General features: G+C 47.4%; 1 protein-coding gene across 3 annotated transcripts in view; it reads left to right on the forward strand.

The window, feature by feature from the left end:
- The window catches only part of AKAP14 (A-kinase anchoring protein 14), a 24,824-nt gene continuing 5,119 nt past the window's right edge, over positions 1–19,705 (forward strand). Inside the window, exons 1-5 of one of the 3 annotated variants that reach the window (NM_178813.6) lie at positions 1–95; positions 263–375; positions 7,322–7,500; positions 7,603–7,694; positions 18,807–18,986. In NM_178813.6, coding sequence (NP_848928.1) covers positions 7,332–7,500; positions 7,603–7,694; positions 18,807–18,986 — 441 coding nt within the window. In that variant the 5' untranslated portion in view covers positions 1–95; positions 263–375; positions 7,322–7,331. Of the gene's footprint in view, positions 96–262; positions 376–7,321; positions 7,501–7,602; positions 7,768–18,806; positions 18,987–19,705 lie in introns of those variants that run through there. The other 2 variants (NM_001008534.2, NM_001008535.2) reach the window with 2 other exon arrangements.

Raw genomic sequence — 19,705 nt, forward strand, 5'->3', positions numbered from 1 at the left:
ATAGGGATGCCCAATACATACCAGCTGTGAGGCTTATCACCACTGTTCTTCCTGGCATGGCCCTGTAAGCTCATCTTCGGCTGAAGAGAAGCTAGGTATAGCTACTACAGTTTGGTCCTATTATTGCGGTCAGACAGTTGCTGTGATTGGCTCTCCCCTCCTTCCCTCACCCCCTCCCATCTTACCCTCTGTTATTAACATAAGCAGTCAGAAACATGTAGGCTATGCTTCCCATTGGTTGAAATTGTTGTTTCCTTGGCAGCACTTGCAAACATTCCATCTGGCAATCTGAGAGAAGCTACTGAGAGAATCCTGAGACATCCCCAGCCACCTACCACTGCTCCTGTTCCAAGCAAAGAAGATCTGCTCACTCCGGTACTGGGGATTCTCCGGGGTGGGGGAGTCCACAGAAAGGACTTGCAGTGGTTCTCCCTATTCATCACCCAGACCCCAAACGTTACCATTCCCCCCATCTCTTCCTACCCACCCTGCCTATCTGGCCTCTGAGAAGGGGAGGGGAGGAGAGGGGAGGGGAGGGGAGGGGAGGACAAGGGAGAGGGAGGGGGAGGGGAGGGGAGCGGAGGGGAGGGGAGAGGAGGGGAGGGAAGGGAAGAAAAATAACTAGGAGATGCCAGTGGGAGGGAGGCTTAAGAATGGTGTGGGCCCACAGACGTGTGAGGGTAAAAATTGAGCTTCTTCCTGGGCACTGCTCCCCATCTTCCCTCTCCTGTTGGAGCACAGGCTCCCCAGGGAAAGTCTTAAGGAGGTCCTTCCATGCATAAAGCACACACCCCATGTGCTTCGTGTTGGAGGTCACAGATTTGACTTCTCATCGATTTATCAATAGGAAATTTGCTGAAAGCAAAGTTACTGAATGTCCAAGTTACCAAATGGGCAATTTTCTTTTCTTTTCTTTTTTTCTTTTTTTTTTTTTTTGAGACAGAGTCTCGCTCTGTCGCCTAGGCTGGAGTGCAGCAGCGCGATCAAGGCTCACTGCAACCTCCGCCTCTGGTTTCAAGTGATTCTCCTGCCTCAGCCTCCCGAGTAGCTGGGACGACAGGCATGCACCACCATGCCTGGCTAATTTTTGTATTTTTAGTAGAGACGGGATTTTGCCATGTTGGCCAGGCTGGTTTCGAACTCCTGACCTCAGGTAATCCTCCCACATTGGCCTTCCAAAGTGCTGGGATTACAGGTGTGAGCCACCGCGCCCGGCCCCAAATGGACAATTTTCTTTCTTTCTTTTCTTCTTTCCTTCTTTCTCTCTTTCTTTCTTTTCTTTTTTGAGGTGGAGTTGCACTCTGTTGCCCAGGCTGGAGTGAAGTGGTGAGATCTTGGCTCACTGCAAACTCTGCCTCCCGGATTCATGCCATTCTCCTGCCTCAGACCCCCAAGTAGCTGGGACTACAGGCACCCGCCACCACGGCTGGCTAATTTTTTGTATTTTTAGTAGAGACGGGGTTTCACTGTGTTAGCCAGGATGGTCTCGATCTCCTGACCTCGTGATCCGCCCGCCTTGGCCTCCCAAAGTGCTGGGATTATAGGTGTGAGCCACTGCGCCCGGCCCAAATGGACAATTTTCTAAAGGATCAAGTTGATATATGGCTACCTCACCAAAGTCTACTGAAATTACCAATTTACCCAAAAACCTTTGTACAGTTGTCTTTAACTACAGAGTTTATAGCAGGTTGCTCTGGCCAAATTGGCATGGCCTAAGTAAGGGCTAGGGAGAGCCAGTTCTCTAGTGTTAAGGACCTTTAGGCTCCTCACTGACCACCCTTTAGCCTCTGGCTGCTCTGGAGTGGGCAACCTGGAAATGCTCTGTGTGCTCTGGCAGATGATCCTGTCTACCTCCAGCTGCAGCAACAAGGAACTGGGGCAGAGGCAAACTGAGCTTAAAAATGCCAACATCAGTCTGGGCAACATACTGAGACCTATAAAATAAATAGCCTGGTGTAGGCAGGACACGGTGGCTCATGCCTGTAATCCCAGCATTTTGGGAGGCCGAGGTGGGCAGATCACCCGAGGTCAGGGGTTGAAGACCAGCCTGGCCAACATGGTAAAACCCTGTCTCTATTAAAAATACAAAAATTAGCTGGGCATATTTTTGTATTTACAATACTTTTGTATTTTGTATTTACACACCTGTAATCCCAGCTACTCAGGAGGCTGAGGCAGGAGAATTGCTTGAACCCAGGAGGCGGACGTTGCAGTGAGCCGAGATTGCGCCACCGCACTCCAGCCTGGGTGACAGAGTGAGACTCTGTATCAAAAGAAAAAAATAATAGCCAGCTGTGGTGGTATAGGCCTTTAGGCCCAACTACTCAGGAGGCTGAGGTGGGAGGATCACTTGAGCCCAGGAAGTTGAGGCTGCAGCTAGCTGTGATTGCGCCACTGTACTCCAGCCCAGGTAACAGAGCAAGACTCTATCTCAAGAGGAAAAAAAGGAAAACAAAAAGCTAAAATGAACAATAGCCAACATTATTTCAGGGATGTTCAAAGGCTGTCCCAGTGGTTCTTGAACTGATGGCCGTTGGAGCCAGGTTGCCTTTTGCAGTATCTACTACCCCCTGGGATCAATGATGATGTCAAGAAAGGAAACAGAGAGTTGCCCTTTGTCCGGGCGTGGTGGCTCACACCTGTAATCCCAGCACTTTGGAGATTACACCAAGGCAGGTGTATCACCTGAGGTCAGGAGTTCAAGACCAGCCTGGCCAACATGGTGAAACCCCATCTCTACTAAAAATAACAAAAACTAGCCGGGCATGGTGGCGGACACCTGTAATCCCAGCTACTTGGGAGGCTGAGGCAGGAGAATCACTTGAACCCAGGAGGCAGAGGTTGCAGTGAGCCGAGATTTCGCCATTGCACTCCGGCCTGGGCAATAAGAGTGAAAACTCCGTCTTGAAAAAAAAAAAAAAGAGTTGCCTTTTGTGAAAGAGGCTCCCAGAGAGAGAGTGGGTCACTGGACTCTAGATGAAAATGTGAGAATAAGGCCAGGCGCGATGGCTCACACCTGTAATCCCAGCACTTTGGGAGACTGAGGTGGGTGGATCAGGAGGTCAGGAGTTCAAGACCAGCCTGGCCAAGATGGTGAAACCCCGTCTCTACTAAAAATACAAAAATTAGCTGGGCGTGGTGGCAGGTGCCTGTAATCCCAGCTACTCGGGAGGCTGAGGCAGCAGAATTGCTTGAACCCAGGAGGCGGAGGTTGCAGTGAGCGGAGATCGTGCCACTGCCCTCCAGCCTGGGTGACAGAACAAGACTCTGTCTCAAAAAAAAAAAAAAAAAAAGGAAGAAAGAAAATGTGAGAATAGGGCCCTACTGCTCTTTCTCAATCTTGGAGGGAGAAGAGCAGCACAGTTGAGAGCATGGGCTGTGAAGCCAGACACTGTGGGTGTACAGCTCAGTTTCCTCATTTTCACATGGCAGCAACAGGCCCTCTGTCTGTGACTCAGGGCTCCTGTAGGAAACTGTTGGCATATTAAAATGAGGATAGCTGTAGAAGGGTTAAGTAAGGGAATATTTACAAAGGTGTGGCCAGATTGCAGGGCAACAGAGGAAGGTGCAGCTCCCCGGGGCTAGTAACAGTGGGCCTAAAACGTTGAGGGGAGAGAATGCTTACCCTTACCACACTGGGAAGCTGGGAGAGCGCCACCCTGAAAGACGCTGGGGACTTCATGCAGCCAGCCATCAGCCAACTCGCAGGGAGAAAACCACCAGGGACATACATTTTGACTTCCTGATCTCCTTATTGTGTGGAACCCCCTAGAAGCCAGAGGGCACCATTTATGGGTGCAGTCAGGTTAGTTTTCCAGGGCAGGAAGCAGGAGGAGATGCAAGGACAGTGGATTTGGAAAGGCAAATGGAAGGTGCCCAGCGCACTCTTTCATAGGGCTGTGATGACAGTTAAATGAAACATAGCACATTAAACACCCCCAAATTGGGAGCTGTTATTTATAGAAAAATAGCTCCATTTGGAGAGAGATACCCACTTTCATGTAGCCCTTCCACTCAATGGAAGGATTGCTTGCAACATACTTATTTTTTATTTTTTGAGACAGCCTTGCTCTGTCACCAGGCTGGAGTGCAGCGACACAATCTCGGCTCACTGCAACCTCTGCCTCCCGGGTTCAAGCAATTCTCCTGCCTCAGCCTCACGAGTAGCTGGGATTACAGGTGCTGGCCACCATGCCAGTCCAACTTTTTTTTTTTTTGAGATGGAGTCTCACTCTCATTGCCCAGGCTGGAGTGCAATGGCGTGATCTGGGCTCACCACAACCTCCGCCTCCCAGATTCAAGCGATTCTCCTGCCTCAGCCTCCCGAGTAGCTGGGATTACAGGCACGTGCCACCACACCTGGCTAATTTTTGTATTTTTAGTAGAGACGGGGTTTTGCCTTGTTGGCCAGGCTGGTCTTGAACTCCTGACCTCAGGTGATCCACCCGCCTCGGCCTCCCAAAGAGCTGGGATTACAGGCATGAGCCACCAAACCTGGCCCAGGCCAATTTTTGTATTTTTAGTAGAGATGGGGTTTCTCCATGTTGGCCAGGCTAGTCTCAAACTCCTCACCTCAGGTGATCTAACCCCTTGGCCTCCCAAATTGCTGGGATTACAGGCGTGTGCCACCGTGCCTGGCCATGTTTTTTATTTTCTCTGAGACAGGGTCTCGCTCTGTCACCCAGACTGGAGTACAGTGGTGAGATCACGGCTCCCTGCAGCCTCGACCTCCCAGGCTCAAGTGATCCTCCTACATCAGCCTTGTGAGTAGAAAGCTGGGATTACAGGCACACATCACCATACCTGGCTAATTTTTTAAACTTTTGTAGAGATGGGGCCTTGCTATGTTGTCCAGGCTGATCTCAATCCCCTGCACTTAAGCGATCCTCCCACTTTGGCCTCCCGAAGTGCTGGGATTACAGGCCTGAGCCACTGCACCCGGCTGCCTGTAAGGAATTTAAAGCTGTGCTGGAAGTAAGCAATTTTTCATAAGCAAAGAGACTTAAACAGTAGCAAGAAAAGAAAGGATTTAAGACTCAAGGGAAAAGATGTAAAAAACATTGAAAATGAGGAAAGACTTCTAGCTCTGTGATGGAGCCATCTTTACAGCCCTAGTAACACAAATTTTCACATTGTCAATACATGTTAAAGGCATCTGGAAGATTATAGCTATCATTTATGATAAAAATCTTACTAGAACAGGAACAGACGAATGTTTTCTTGATGTGATACATCTCAAACCACAAACCAGCATCATACTAATGGTGTAACACCAGAAAGCAAGGCCATTAAAGTCAGACACAATAGGAGGATGCTCATTATTTCCACTTTCATTTTACATTTTTCTGGAAGTATTAACCAAAGCTAATACTCATAAGAGATATATACTCCTGGAAAAAAGATGATAAAAGTGACAGTTTATTGGAGATGATATAATTGTATACTGTACTGGAAAAACCCAAGAGAGAGAATTATGAAACCAATATTCCTCTGCTGTAATGCCTCTACTCATTTTAACACTATCTTTATAGGCCAGGTGTGGTGGCTCACACCTGTAATCCCAGCACTTTGGGAGTCCAAAGTGGGTGGATCACTTGAGGTCAGGAGTTCAAGACCAGCCTGGCCAACATGGTGAACCCCCGTCTCTACTAAAACTACAAAAAATTAGCCAGGCATGGTGGCACACGCCTGTAGTCCCAGCTACTCGGGAGGCTGAGACAGGAGAATCACTTGAATCCGGGAGGCGGAGGTTGCAGTGAGCCAAGATTGTGCCATTGCACTCCAGCCTGGGCGACAGAACGAAACTTTGTCTCAAAAAAAAAAAAAACACTATCTTAGCCGGCGCGCTGGCTCACGCCTGTAATCCCAGCACTTTGGGAGGCCGAGGCGGGTGGATCACCTGAGGTCAAGAGTTCGAGACCAGCCTGGCCAACTTGGAGAAACCCCATCTCTACTGAAAATACAAAATTAGCCGGGCGTGGTGGCGCATGCCTCCAATCCCAGCTACTCGGGAGGCTGAAGCAGGAGAATCACTTGAACCTGGATTCTCCCGGGAGGCGGAGGTTGCGGTGAGCCGAGATAGCGCCATTGCTCTCCAGCCTGGGCAACAAGAACAAAACTCTGACTCAAACAAACAAACAAACAAACAAAAAACAAAACACTGTCTTTATACTTTTTTTTTTTTTTTGAGATGTAGTCTCCCTCTGTAGCCCAGGCTGGAAGGCTGGAGTGCAGTGGTGCGATCTCGGCTCACAGCAACCTCTGCCTCCTGGGTCCCGGTTCAAGCAATTCTCCTGCCTCAGCCTCCTGTGTAGCTGGGATTACAGGCATGAGCCACCATGCCCAGCTAATTTTTGTATTTTTAGTAGAGACGAGGTTTCACCATGTTGGCCAGAGTGGTCTTCAACTCCTGACCTCGTGATATGCCTGCCTCAGGCTCCCAAAGTGCTGGGATTACAGGCGTGAGCCACCGCGCCGGGCCTTTATATTTCTTTTTAAAAGTTAAGACAGGTTGGGGAGTGGGGAGATCTCACTATGTTGCCCAGGCTGGTTTCAAACTCATAGCCTCAAACTGTCCCCCTGCTTCAGCCTCCTGAATAGCTGAGATTACAGGCACATGCCACCACACCCACTTCATTTTAACATCATTTTAAAAGAGCCAGGTGCCCTCAGTTGCTCCTAGCAGGGATTGGGTTTCTTATCAAAGATTCAACTTGGAATCAATATTGCTAGGCACTCCAAAGAAGTGCTACTTTTTTTCTACTACATTTTGATTTAAGTCATTATGGTGTTTTTTTTGTTTTTTGTTTTGTTTTTGAGATGGAGTTTTGCTCTTGTTGCCCAGGCTGGAGTGCAATGGCGCGATCTTGGCTCACTGCAACCTCCACCTCCCAGGTTCAAGCAATTGTCCTGCCTCAGCCTCCCAAGTAGCTGGGATTACAGGCGCCCGCCACCACACCCGGCAAATTTTGCATTTTTAGTAGAGACGGGGTTTCACCATGTTGGTCAGGCTGGTCTTGAACTCCTGACCTCAGGTGATCCGCCCGCCTCGGGCTCTCAAAGGGCTGGGATTACAGGCGTGAGCCACCGCGCCGGGCCTCATTATGATTTTGAGAATGTGAGAATCCTTGGTTTTCAGGAAAAGTAGATAGCAGCAGCCAGGCACAGGTCTGACTCCTACCCTTAAACCCCTAATCCCCTCCCTAGAGGCAATAACTGCTTCCTGTCTCTTGTGATTCTTCAAGAGATGATCTGTACTTATATGAGTGCGTTCACATGTGTGTACACACACAGGCACACAGTAACTTCTTTTTTTCCCCAGGAAAAAGAAAATGAGTGAGACTCAAAATTCAACAAGCCAGAAAGCAATGGATGAGGATAACAAAGCCGCAAGCCAAACAATGCCGAATACACAAGACAAGAACTACGAGGATGAATTGACTCAAGTAGCTCTAGCTCTGGTTGAGGATGTCATCAATTATGCTGTTAAGATTGTGGAAGGTAGTGATCCTGTTTGTTTGGATGCCTAAATAATTGTCTATATAGTCTAAATATAGCACCACACTACCTGGCAACTAACGAACTCACACCTTTTTTTTGCAGAGGAGCGAAACCCTTTGAAAAACATCAAGTGGATGACTCACGGTGAATTCACTGTGGAAAAGGGTCTTAAACAAATTGACGAATATTTTTCGGTAAGTTAGGCCGACCACTCCAGCATGGTACACCGGTGTGAAGAACAATAAAGAGACTCTCAGCAGATCAAAAGTTTGAAGTCTGGAAAATCTAGGAGATGGTATCAAAGGGGGCTGACTAGAATAAGTAAACATCATCTCCATCTCAGTTCCAAAATCAAGGTGGGATAGTCTTTGAAGGTGAAATGCACAATCACAATCATTTTCCCTGTGTCTGTATCATTCTAACCTTACATTTCCCTGGGAAAATCTGCTCTTCCTACTTAAGCAATTTGTCCATGCTGGTGCATTAAATGGGGGCCTAGTGGCCTAAGGAGGGAGATGCTCCTCCAAAATAGGAGTTCTCCACCACCATTATTTTGTTTATTTTTTTTAGAGACAGGGTCCCACTCTGTCACCGAGGCTGCAGTGCAGGGGCTCGATCCTAGCTCCCTGCAGCTTTGAACTCCTGGGCTCAAGCGATCTTCCCACCTCAGCCTTCCAAGTAGACAGGCACGTGTCACCACACCTGGCTAATTTTTAATTTTTTTTTGTAGAGACAGGGTCGTGCTATGTTGCTCAGGTTGGCCTCGAACTCCTGGCCTCAAGGGATCCTCCTGCCTTGGCCTCCCAAAGTGCTGGGATTACAGGTGTGAGCCATTGCACCCAGCCTCCACCACCAACTTTAGAATGCTCCTGTTAACAGAGGGGATGCAGATGGATCAAAAGACTTTTTGATTTGGCTTTGGAATATATTGCCTGCATAGTAAGATGTACAATCCCATGAATTCCTTTGTTCTTCTGCCTGTGTCTGACTCTGACTTCTTCGTGTGGCAGCTTTGCTGAGAAGGCCCTGGATTACTTTGCATAACTGGTGAGTGAATAAAGGAGAATGGCTTGGGCCAGGCGCAGTGGTTCACATCTGTAATCCCAGCACTTTGAAATACCAAGACGGGAGAATCAATCATTTGAGCCTAAGAGTTTGAGACAGCCTGGGCAACATAGTGGGACCCCATCTCTATAAAACTAAAAAATTAGGCCAGGCATAGTGGCTCACGCCTGTAAGCCCAGCACTTTGGGAGGCCGAAGTGGGCAGATCACAAGGTCAGGAGTTCAAGTCCAGCCTGGCCAATATGGTGAAACCCCGTCTCTATTAAAAATACAAAAATTAGCCAGGCGTGGTGCTGGGCGCCTGTAATCCCAGCTACTCGGGAGGCTGAGGCAGAAGAATCGCTTGAACCCAGGAGGCAGAGGTTGCAGTGAGCTGAGATTACACCACTGCATTCTCAATCCTGGGCGACAGAGCAAGACTCCGTCTCAAAAAATAATAATAATAATTAGCCGGGCGTGGTGGTATGCACGTATAGTTCCAGCTACTCAGGAGGCTGAGGTGGGAGGATCACTTGAGCCCAGGAGGTCGAGGCTGCAGTAAGCTGTGATTGTGCCACTGCACTCAGCCTGGGTGACAGAGTGAGACCCTGTCTCAAAAAAAAAAAAGGCTTGAAATCCTTCTCATTGTGCTTCTGTGGAACAGAGACCAGTTGAAATTGGTGGAGGCGAACTCCCCTACCCCTGGGAAAAGTTCCAGCTCTCTCTGTTCCCCAGGCCAGCACCTCAAAGCCTACAGCCCTCAGGGCAGTTTCCCAGGCCTTAGGAAGGCCTGGTCAGGTGTGAAGGAGGAAAAGTCAGGGATTTCTGGCTCCACGCCTTCTATGCTCCAGCGGACGCCACTCACCGTTCTCATTAGGAGGGGTATCTTGAGCATAGTGAAGATGAATGGTGCAAGTTATTCTTGAGCCTTCCTGCTGTGGAGCACTTCTCCATTTGGGGTTGGGCAAAGGCCCCTGCCTACTGCACTCAGGGTTCCTGAATCAAACTAGAATGGAACACATAGCAAGTAGGAAAAATTTCCCTTGCAAATCCCACTGGTCATTCTGAGTAAAAGGCAAAAGTAAGTCCTGACAATGGTCTACAAGGCCCAATATGATCTGAGTTCCCTTTCCCCTCCTGATTTATGGTTCAGCTCCCATCACTCCTTCCCCCCTCTCACCTTCTTCCCTCGGCCACACTTGCCTCCTTGCCGTTCCTCGACTGCCAGGCATGTTCCCCTGTCAGGACCCTTGCTCTTGCTGTTCCCTCTGCCTGGAACCCTCTCCCCTAAGATGTATACCCATGGCTCACTGCTTTACCTCCCTTCAGATCTTTGTTGAAAACTATCACCTGCTCATTGAGGCTTTTCTTGGCCACTTCATCTAAAATCACAACCCTCTCCACTTCTCTGATTCATTTTTCCCTTCGCACTTCTTTCTGCCTACTAGAGTCTATTTACTTGTCCTACTGCCTGTCTTCCACCCCCAGACCATATGGTCCATGAGGGCAGATTTCTCTTGACTGCTCTCTTCCCAGCCCCTAGCAATGTCAGGTACACAGATGCTCAATAACTCTATGTTGAATACATGAGCAGATTTATTATTGCATTACCGTATTTCTTCACAGATGAAGAGCCAGGTCAAAGGATTTGTCTTACCTATTTCGTAGGGCTGTTGTGAGGACAGAGACAATTAAAAAGTAAATGACTGAAAAGCTAAACATGTTATATTAACTCATGATGTAAAATCGCCCTGTTCCCAGCCCCACTAATGCAGCATGCCTGGCATTTCTTTTTTTTTTTTTTTTTTTTTTTTTTTGAGACGGAGTCTCACTCTGTCGCCCAGGCTGGAGTGCAGTGGCGTGATCTTGGCTCACTGCACCCTCCGCCTCCTAGGTTCAAGTGATTCTCCTATCTCAGCCTCCCGAGTAGCTGGGACTACAGGCGTGTGCCACCGTGCTGGCTAATATTTTGTATTTTTAGTAGAGACAGGGTTTCACCATGTTAGCCAGGATGGTCTCGATCTTCTGACCTTGTGATCCGCCTGCCTCGGCCTCCCAAAGTGCTGGGATTACAGGCGTGAGCCATCGCGCCCGGCCCTTCTTTTTTTTTTTTTTGAGACAGAGTTTCACTCTTGTCACCCAGGCTGGAGTGCAATGGTGCGATCTCGGCCTACTACAACCTCCACCTCCTGGGTTCAAGTGATTCTCTTGCCTCAGCCTCCCGAGTAGCTGGAATTATAGGCACCTGCCACCATGCCAGGCCAATTTATTTTTTATTTTTAATTTTTAGTAGAGATGGGGTTTCACCATTTTGGCCAGGCTGGTCTCGAACTCCTGACCTCAGGTGATCCACCCACATTGGACTCCCAAAGTGTTGGGATTACAGGTGTGAGCCACTGCACCCGGCCAAAGTGTGAGGCATTTCTGATGGAGAGCTTTTTCAAGCTTATTGCCAGTTTCCCAGGGTCCACTACACATCAGGGGATGGTAAATTAGGAGTTGCCATTTACTGAGTACTGCTATGTGTTAAGCACTGCAGTGCACATCATCATGCATTATCTCGTTTAATCCTCACAACAAAACTGTGTGTGGGTATATCAGTGTACCCATTTAAAAGATGAGAACTTTGCACAAATTGCCCAACCTCTCTCTGATTGAGCAGCAAAACAAAGTTATGATCATATGTCTGTCTGATTTTTTTTTTTTTTTTGTGGGACAGGGCATTGCTCTGTCACCCAGGGCTGCAGTGCAGTGGCACCATCTTGGCTCACTGCAACCTCTGCCTCCTGGGTTCAAGGGATTCTCCTGCCTCAGGCTCCCGAGTAGATGGGACTACAGGTGCATGCTACCATGCCTGGCTAATTTTTGCATTTTTAGTAGAGATGGGGTTTCACCATGTTGGCCAGTCTGGTCTCAAACTCCTGACCTCAAGTGATCTGCCCACCTCAGCCTCCCAAAGTGCTGGGATTACAAGCGTGAGCCACTGTGCCTGGCCTGATACATTCTTTTTAAAAAATATTTATTTATTTATTTATTTATTGAGACAGAGTCTTGCTCTGTCGCCCAAGCTGGAGTGCAGTGGCGCAATCTCGGCTCACTGCAGCCTCAAACTCCTGGGCTCAAGTGATCCTCCTGCCTCAGCCTCCTGAGTAGCTAGGACTATGGGTACACAGCACCATGGCCGAGTAAATTTTTTATTTTTTTGTAGAGATGAGGTCTCACTTTGTTGCTCAGGCTGGTCTTGAACTCCTGGCCTCAAGTGGTCCTCCTGCCTCGGCCTCCTAAAGTGCTGGGATTACTGCCAGCCACTGGCAGTGGCCACTGCACCCGGTGTGAGCCACTGCACCCAGTCAGTTCTATCTGATATATTCTTTCCACCACAGTAGGAAAAGTATTTTTTTTTCTTATTTGTTTTTTCTCATCAGCTTCTACTGACCCAGGAAAAGTACTTTTGGATGACAAAAATAATGCAGACTTTTATTATCATTTAAAAATACAAATTCAAATGATTTTAAGGTACTACAATGTGAATACGAATAATTAAACCTGGTATCAGAAGGCTGGTACAGGCTGGGCGCGGTGGCTCACGCCTGTAATCCCAGCACTTTGGGAGGGCGAGGCGGGCGGATCACTTGAGGTCTGGAGTTTGAGAACAGCCTGGTCAACATGGTGAAACCCTGTCTCTACAAAAATACAAAAAAATTAACTGGGTGTGGTAGTGTGTGCCTGTAATCCCAGCTGCTTGGGAGGCTGAGGCAGGAGAATCACTTGAACCTGGGAGGCGGAGGTTGCAGTGAGCTGAGATCGCACCACTGCACTCCAGCCTGGGCAACAGAGTGAGACTCTGTCAAAAAAAAAAAAAAAAAAGAAGGATGGTATAGGATGGTATAGTTGTGGGGAGGGAACACTTACACATTGCCAATGGCAAAGTTGGTTCATTCTCTTCAGGAACACAGTCTGGCAACAGGAATATACAAATGGGTTCCTTATAAAAGAAAAATCAGAGAATGCCCATCACCTCAGACAGTTAAAATTACTTTTATAATAAAAAAAAGACATCACTATAAAAAATGCCCAGTGAGCAAAAAGATACAAATTAGAAAATGAAATTACCCAAAATACCCGTTTCTATTACCCCAAAGGTCACTTAACCATGGATAACAGTTTTGTGCATATACTTTTTCATTGTTTTTTGCCTTGTGCATATACTTCTATGTGTCTGTTGATTGTGAGTGTCCAGTAGTATGTAGTTGGCTAAGCCATCCATGATCAAGTAGTACAGTGAGATACTGTTTCCTGGAAGTGAGTATATGAAGCAGTATCATGTAAAAATCACAAAACACACTCACTGCTGATACATAAAAGTCTGCTGCCTGCACACGGATAAAAATGGGAGGAGATTCGCCTGATGAAAATAGTTAAATTTAATGTCATGTGTAAGGCTGCCTTCATTCACAAAAGGGAGGAAAAATCCACTAAGAGCCAAGCTGAGAAGAAGAAACTCTTAGAACTGAGGCTTCTAGTGGGGTGGAGAAAGCACTGAGCGGGCTGCTCAGGAGTCCTGGGTACCAGTCCCAGTTTATTGTGTTAGACTGTCCCTACCTACTTCTAGGCCCTGGTATCCTCATCTGCAAAGTGAAGGGCTGCATTAGATTATCTCTAGTGACCTATTCAATGTTATAAAGTCTGTGATTGTGTGACAGATTAAACATTAGGGCTAGAAAAGTATATTGAGTAATATAGAACAGTTGAAAAAAAAGGCATGCTCTGGCTGGGTGCGGTGGCTCATGCCTGTAATCCCAACACTTTGGAAGGCCGAGGCAGGTGGATCACCTGTGGCCAGGAGTTTGAGACCAGCCTGGCCAACATGGTGAAACTCCGTCTCTACTATATGTGCTGCCGAAGCGAGCACAGAAACTCCATCTCTACTAAAAATACAAAAATTAGCCAAATGTGGTGGTGCACACCTGTAATGCCAGCTACTCGGGAGGCTGAGGCAGAAGAATCACTTGAACTCGGGAGGCGGAGGTTGCAGTGAGCCGAGAAAACGCCACTGTACTCAAGCCTGGGTGACGGAGCAAGACTTCATCTCAAAAACATAAAAAAAAAAAAAAAGAGGCATGCTCCAATGAGCCATAAGGGGTTGACTGTTGGGCCCCTTCATTAAAAGGAGTAATGATTTTGGGGCCAGGCGTGGTGGCTCGTGCCTATAATCCCAGCACTTTGGGAGGCCGAGGCATGTGGATTACCTGAGGTCAGGAGTTCAAGACCAGCCTGGATCTCTACTAAAAATACAAAAATTAGCTGGGCGTGGTGGTGAGCACCTGTAATCCCAGCTACTCAGGAGGCTGAGGAAGGAGAATCGCTTGAACCCAGGAGGCGGAGGTTGCAGTGTGCCGAGATCACGTCACTGCACTCCAGCCTGGAAGACAGAGAGGGACTCCGTCTCAAAAAAAAAAAAAGGAAGGAATAATGACTTTGGGAGGCCGAGGCCAGTGGATCACTTGAGCCTAGGAGTTTGAGACCAGCCTGGGCAATATAGGGAGACTGTCATCTCTACAAAAAATATAAAAATTAGCCAGGTGTGGTGGTGCATGCCTGTATGTAGTCTCAGCTACTTGGGAGGCTGAGGCGGGAGGGTCACTTAAGCCCGGGAAGGTTGAGGCTACAATGAGCCATGATCGTGCCACTGCACTCCAGCCTAGGTGACAGAGTAAGACCCTGTCTCAGAAAAAAGGAATAATGATACATGAAAGAATACACAGCTCCTGATCTCAAGGAATCTCGAGTCCAGTGCTCTTCTCTGGACTGAAACAGCCAATTGGGTACAAGTTTGAAATAAGCTGAGGCAAAAGGCCAGCCTACATTTTTTTTAAAGGAGGGCCTGAAATCTTTTTGATGTCTCCTGTACTCCCTCTCCACATTACTGGGACTTGTTAGACTCTCCCAATTCCTTCCTTCTGTGAACCTTCATCTTAATTCAGGCTCTTCTTTGATTCAGAAGCTTCTGGTGCCCTGAGAGCCAGCCCAAGGAAGTTCAGTTGAATTGAATTTGTTGAATACCTGTGAAATCTAAGGCCCTGTGCCAGGAATCAGGGATGCATTTTGACTTCTGTGGGCCCTAGGCACTCTTCCCTTTGTATCCCCCTTTCTCCTTCAAAAGATGAAAAAATTCAAGACAGCACTGGTATAAAGATGAATATAATCATGACCCTAAAATTCATATATTCTTCTTCTTTTTTTTGAGGCAGAGTTTTGCTTTTGTTGCCCAGGCTGGTGTGCAATGGCGCAATCTCGTCTCACCACAATCTCCGCCTCCCGGGTTCAAACGATTCTCCTGCCTCAGCCTCCCAAGTAGCTGGGATTACAGGCATGCACCACCACGCTGGGCTAATTTTGTATTTTTAGTAGAGACTGGATTACTCCACGTTGGTCAGGCTGGTCTCGAACTCCCGACCTCAGGTGATCCGCCCTCCTCGGCCTCCCAAAGTGCTGGGATTACAGGCGTGAGCCACTGTGCCCGGCCTTTTTCTTCTAATTTTAAAAGAAATGAACACATTTTTTTTGTGGGCCCTAGGTATTGAGCTTACTATGCCTTACAGATAAGTCAGCCCTGTTAGAAATGTTTTAATATTGGCCGGGCATGGTGGCTCACGCCTGTAATCCCAACAGTTTGGGAGGCCAAGGTGGGCAGATCACGTGAGGTCAGGAGTTCAAGATCAGCCTGACCAACATGGTGAAACCCTGTCTCTACTAAAAATACAAAAATTAGCTGGGTGTGGTGGTGGGCGCCTGTAATCCCAGCTACTCAGGGAAGCTGAGGCGGGAGAATTGTTTGAACTTGGAAGGCGAAGGTTGCAGCGAGCCGAGATGGTGCCATTGCAGTCCAGCCTGGGTGACAGAGCGAGACTCTGTTTCAAAAAAAAAAAAAAGAAAAGAAATTTTTTAATATGGAGACTACAACGCAGACAGTTCCTTATGGCTGTACTATGCGGGGATGTCTCAAGTGCCATAAGACAGGCAGAAAACAAGTTCCACCAGTGTTCAAAGGGAAAGGGTGTGAAGTCACATCTGGTTGGAAGAGGGATCAGAAAGACTTCTTGGAGGTGGTAGTTTTAAGGAAAACAGAATTTATCAAGTAGGTGATAGAGAGAAGCTTCTCAAGAAATGACAACAGCTGGATCAAAAGCATGGTGTAAACATGGGGAATAGTGCTAGCTATAGCTTGATGGGAATATGAGCATTTTGTTGAGAAAAGTGTGACATGAAACTTGTTTTTTTTTTTTTCTGAGACAAGGAGTTGCCCAGCCTGGAGTGCAGTGGCACGATCATAGCTCACTGCAGTCTTAAATTCCTGTGCTCAAACGATCCTCCTGCCTCAGCCTCCCAAAGTGCTGGGATTACACCACGCCTGGCCATTGTGGGAAGTCTTAAATGACACAGTGAAACATTTTCATTTTGTTTGGCAGGCAATGGGGGAGCTGCTGGAGGTTGCTTTTTTTTTTTTTTTCTGAGATGGAGTTTCGCTCTTGTCGCCCAGGCTGAAGTGCAATGGCGCGATCTCAGCTCACTGCAACCTCCGCCTCCTGGGTTCGAAGGATTCTCATGCCTCAGCCTCTCAAGTAGCTGGGATTACAGGCGCCCACCACCACGCCCGGCTCATTTTTGCATTTTTAGTAGAGACGGGGTTTCACCATGTTGGCCGAGCTGGTCTCGAACTCCTGACCTTAAGTGATCTGCCCGCCTCAGCCTCCCAAAGTGCTGGGATTACAGGCGTGAGCCACTAAGCTTGCGCCCGGCCCACGGGAGGTTTTTGAGCTGATCAGCTATGACTGAAGCTGTGCTTAAGGAAAATAACTCTGGCTTCATTGTGGGTGGGGGATTGGAGAAGTGAGGTTGAGGACAATGGAGTCTAGATGGGTTATTGCCTAAGTCCAGGTGAGAAACACTAAGAGCTGAAGTAGAGCAGTGGCAGTGGGACTGGAGAAGAATGGATAGATTTGAGACACATTTCAGGTAGAATAGATATGATCGAAGGTTAATAAAAAATGGATTAAGGAAGGAAGGAAAGAAGGAAAGAAGAACTGAATGAATGCTACTTTTTTTTTTTTTTGAGATGGAATTTCACTCTTGTAGCCCAGGCTGGAGTGCAATGGCATGATCTTGGCTCACTGCAACCTCCTGACTTCAAGTGATCCGCTCACCTCGGCCTCCCAAAGTGCTGGCATTACAGGCGTGAGCCACTGTGCCCAGCCTAAATGCTACTTTCAATAATGTAGTTAACCTTAGTTGTGTACAGTTGGCTCTCCATATCTGCAGGGGAATACGTTTTCAGACCCTCCATGCATATCAAAATCCACGTGCGCTCAAGTCCCTTAGTCGTCCCCCCATCCATGGATGTAACCAACTGTGGATTGAAAAGGTTGGCCCTATGTATTAGAATCCGCAGTGGTGGGACTGTATTCCCATCTCAACTCCAAGAATAGGCCCAGACAAAGGAGACATTCCAAGGAAGATTTTGTTTCTCAACTCTCATCACTACGAAGATTTGTGCCTTGAAAGGGGAAAGCGCCTGGGAGTGGTGGCTCATGCCTGTAATCCCAGCACTTTGGTAGGCTGAGGCAGGCGGATTGCTCGAGCCCAGGAGTTCAAGGCCAGCCTGGACAACATAGCAAGACCTGGTCTCTAAAATAAATAAATAAATAAATAAATAAATAAAATAAAATAAAATAAAATAAAATTTTAAAAAGAAAGGGGGAAGCTTCTCCAAGGGTGCAAACAAGGAATCCCTCCTTTCTGTAGGATGTGGATTATTCTATTGCCTCCCTGAACTTATTTTATATACCACCTATGGCTACAATTAAGTGAGTTGGATTTTCACAAATGGCTAAAGCCAGCCTCATTACTTTCCAGTCACACATTTAGGTCTCCTGGGATGAGCAGAACAAGTGTTCTAATCACTTTCTAATTATTTTCCAATTAATTGAACCTGCCTCCTGTGAGGGGGTCTGAAGCAACATCTGTGTGTATGTACATGTAGACATTGAAGGGTGTGCCTTGCTGGGCATGGTGGCTCACACCTATAATCCCAGCACTTTGGGAGGCCAAGGCAGGTGGAACACTTGAGCTCAGGAGTTTGAGATCAGCCTGGGCAACATGGTGAAACCCCATCTCTACCAAAAATACAAAAATTAGCTGGGCGTGGTGGCGCATGCCTGTAATCCCAGCTACTCGGGAGGCTGAGGCAGGAGAATCGCTTGAACCCAGGAGGCAGAGGTTGCAATGAGCCAAGATCACGCCACTGCACTCCAGCCTGGGTGAAGAAGTGAGGCTCTGTCTCAATCAATCAATCAATCAATCAATCAATCAATGTGTGTCCCTACAGTCCAAGGCTCAATCTCAACTGATGTTTGCATTCTTCACTTGTTTCATTTCAGCTTAACCTTTTCTCTCCTCCACCCATGGTGATAATTGGGAGCTGACCCTAGTTTGACCCCAATAAAAAAATATTAGGAGTGGCCAGGTGCGGTGGCTCACACCTGTATTCCCAGCACTTTGGGAGGCCAAGGTGGGTAAATCGCTTGAGGTCAGGAATTTGAAACCAGCCTGACCAACATGGTGAAACGCCGTCTCTACTAAAAATACAAAAAGAATTAGCCGGGCTTGGTGGCATACGCCTGTAATCCCAGCTACTTGGGAGGCTGAGGCAGGAGAATCGCTTGAATCTGGGAGGCACAGGTTGCAATGAGCCGAGATCATGCCACTGCACTCCAGCCTGGGCAACAGAGAGAGACTCCATCTCAAAAAAAAAAAAAAAAATTAGGAGCGGACTCCAGAACAGAGCTCTAACCCTGACTGTTACATGCCACACTTATCCTTTATTTTTATTTATTCGTTTTTTTAGGGATAGGGTCTTGCTCTGTCACCCAGGCTGGAGTGTAGTGGTGCGATCACAGCTCACTGCAGCCTCAAACTCCTGGACTCGGGCAATCCTATTGCCTCAGCCTCCCCAGTAGCTGGGATTACAGGTGCGTGCCACCATGCCTGGCTAATTTTTAAATTTGTTTTGTAGAGATAGGGTCTTGCTACATTGCCCAGGCTGGTCTGGAACTCCTGGGCTCAAGCAATCCTCCTGCCTCGGCCTCCCAAAGTGCTGGGATTACAGGCATGAGCCACTGCACCCAGCCATGCTGCATTTATCTACAGGACTTGAACAGAAGGCTTTTCTTTTTCTGTGTGCTTTTTCTTTTTTCTATGAAACAGAAGTGTGTTTCTAAAAAATGCTGGGCACATGGCGTAGAGTTTGTAGAGAGGAAAGACTTAATTCACAGCTTCCTCTACATCTACTATGTACACTGGAGTATCTCAACTGCTGACCTACCCGTAGCACGAATCTCTGCTGGTACCTACTTCACCATGAAGGTCTCCAAAACCAAACCACCGGTAAGTTCTTCTTTTTCTCCCTTCAGTGAGGCTTCAGTGAGAATGGAGACTTCTCTTGTCAAGGTCATCAATAACCCCATTTTTACAAAATTTAATAGTCATACTTCTGTCCTCATCTTACTGGCCTATGCACGGCACTTGCCAAAACTGATCACTCCCCGCTCCATGAAACTTTCCATTTGGCTTCTAGAACAACATACTTTCCTGATTTTCCTCCTGCCTCACTGACCATTCCTTCACAGTCCGTCTCTACTGGTAGTTTCCCTGCCTCATACCAACCTCTTCATGTTGGAATGTCCTGAAACTCAGGCCTTGGACCTCTTCTCTAATACTCAGTTCTGTGGTTATCTCTTCCAGTCTCATAGCTTTAAATGCCACCTAGAGCTTATGTTCCCCAAATTTGTATCTCTAGCACAGACCCGTCCCACGTGGATGTTTAATAAACATCTAATTTATTGTATGTAAAACTGAACTTCTGATTTTCCCTTCCAAGCCTATCTACTTGCAGTCTTCATCTTAGTTAATAGCCAAAATCCTTGGTGTCATCCTTGACTCTTCTCTCATATCCCTCATCTAATCCATTAGGAAATCCTATTGGCTCTACTTTCAAAAATATATCCAGAATCCAACAAATTTTTTTTTTTGAGACAGAGTTTCACTCTTATTGCCCAGGCTGGAGTGCAGTGGCACGATCTTGGCTCACTGCAACCTCCACCTCC

This window comes from Homo sapiens, chromosome X (genome assembly GCF_000001405.40).
Source record: "Homo sapiens chromosome X, GRCh38.p14 Primary Assembly".
In the NCBI taxonomy this organism is placed as follows: domain Eukaryota; kingdom Metazoa; phylum Chordata; class Mammalia; order Primates; family Hominidae; genus Homo; species Homo sapiens.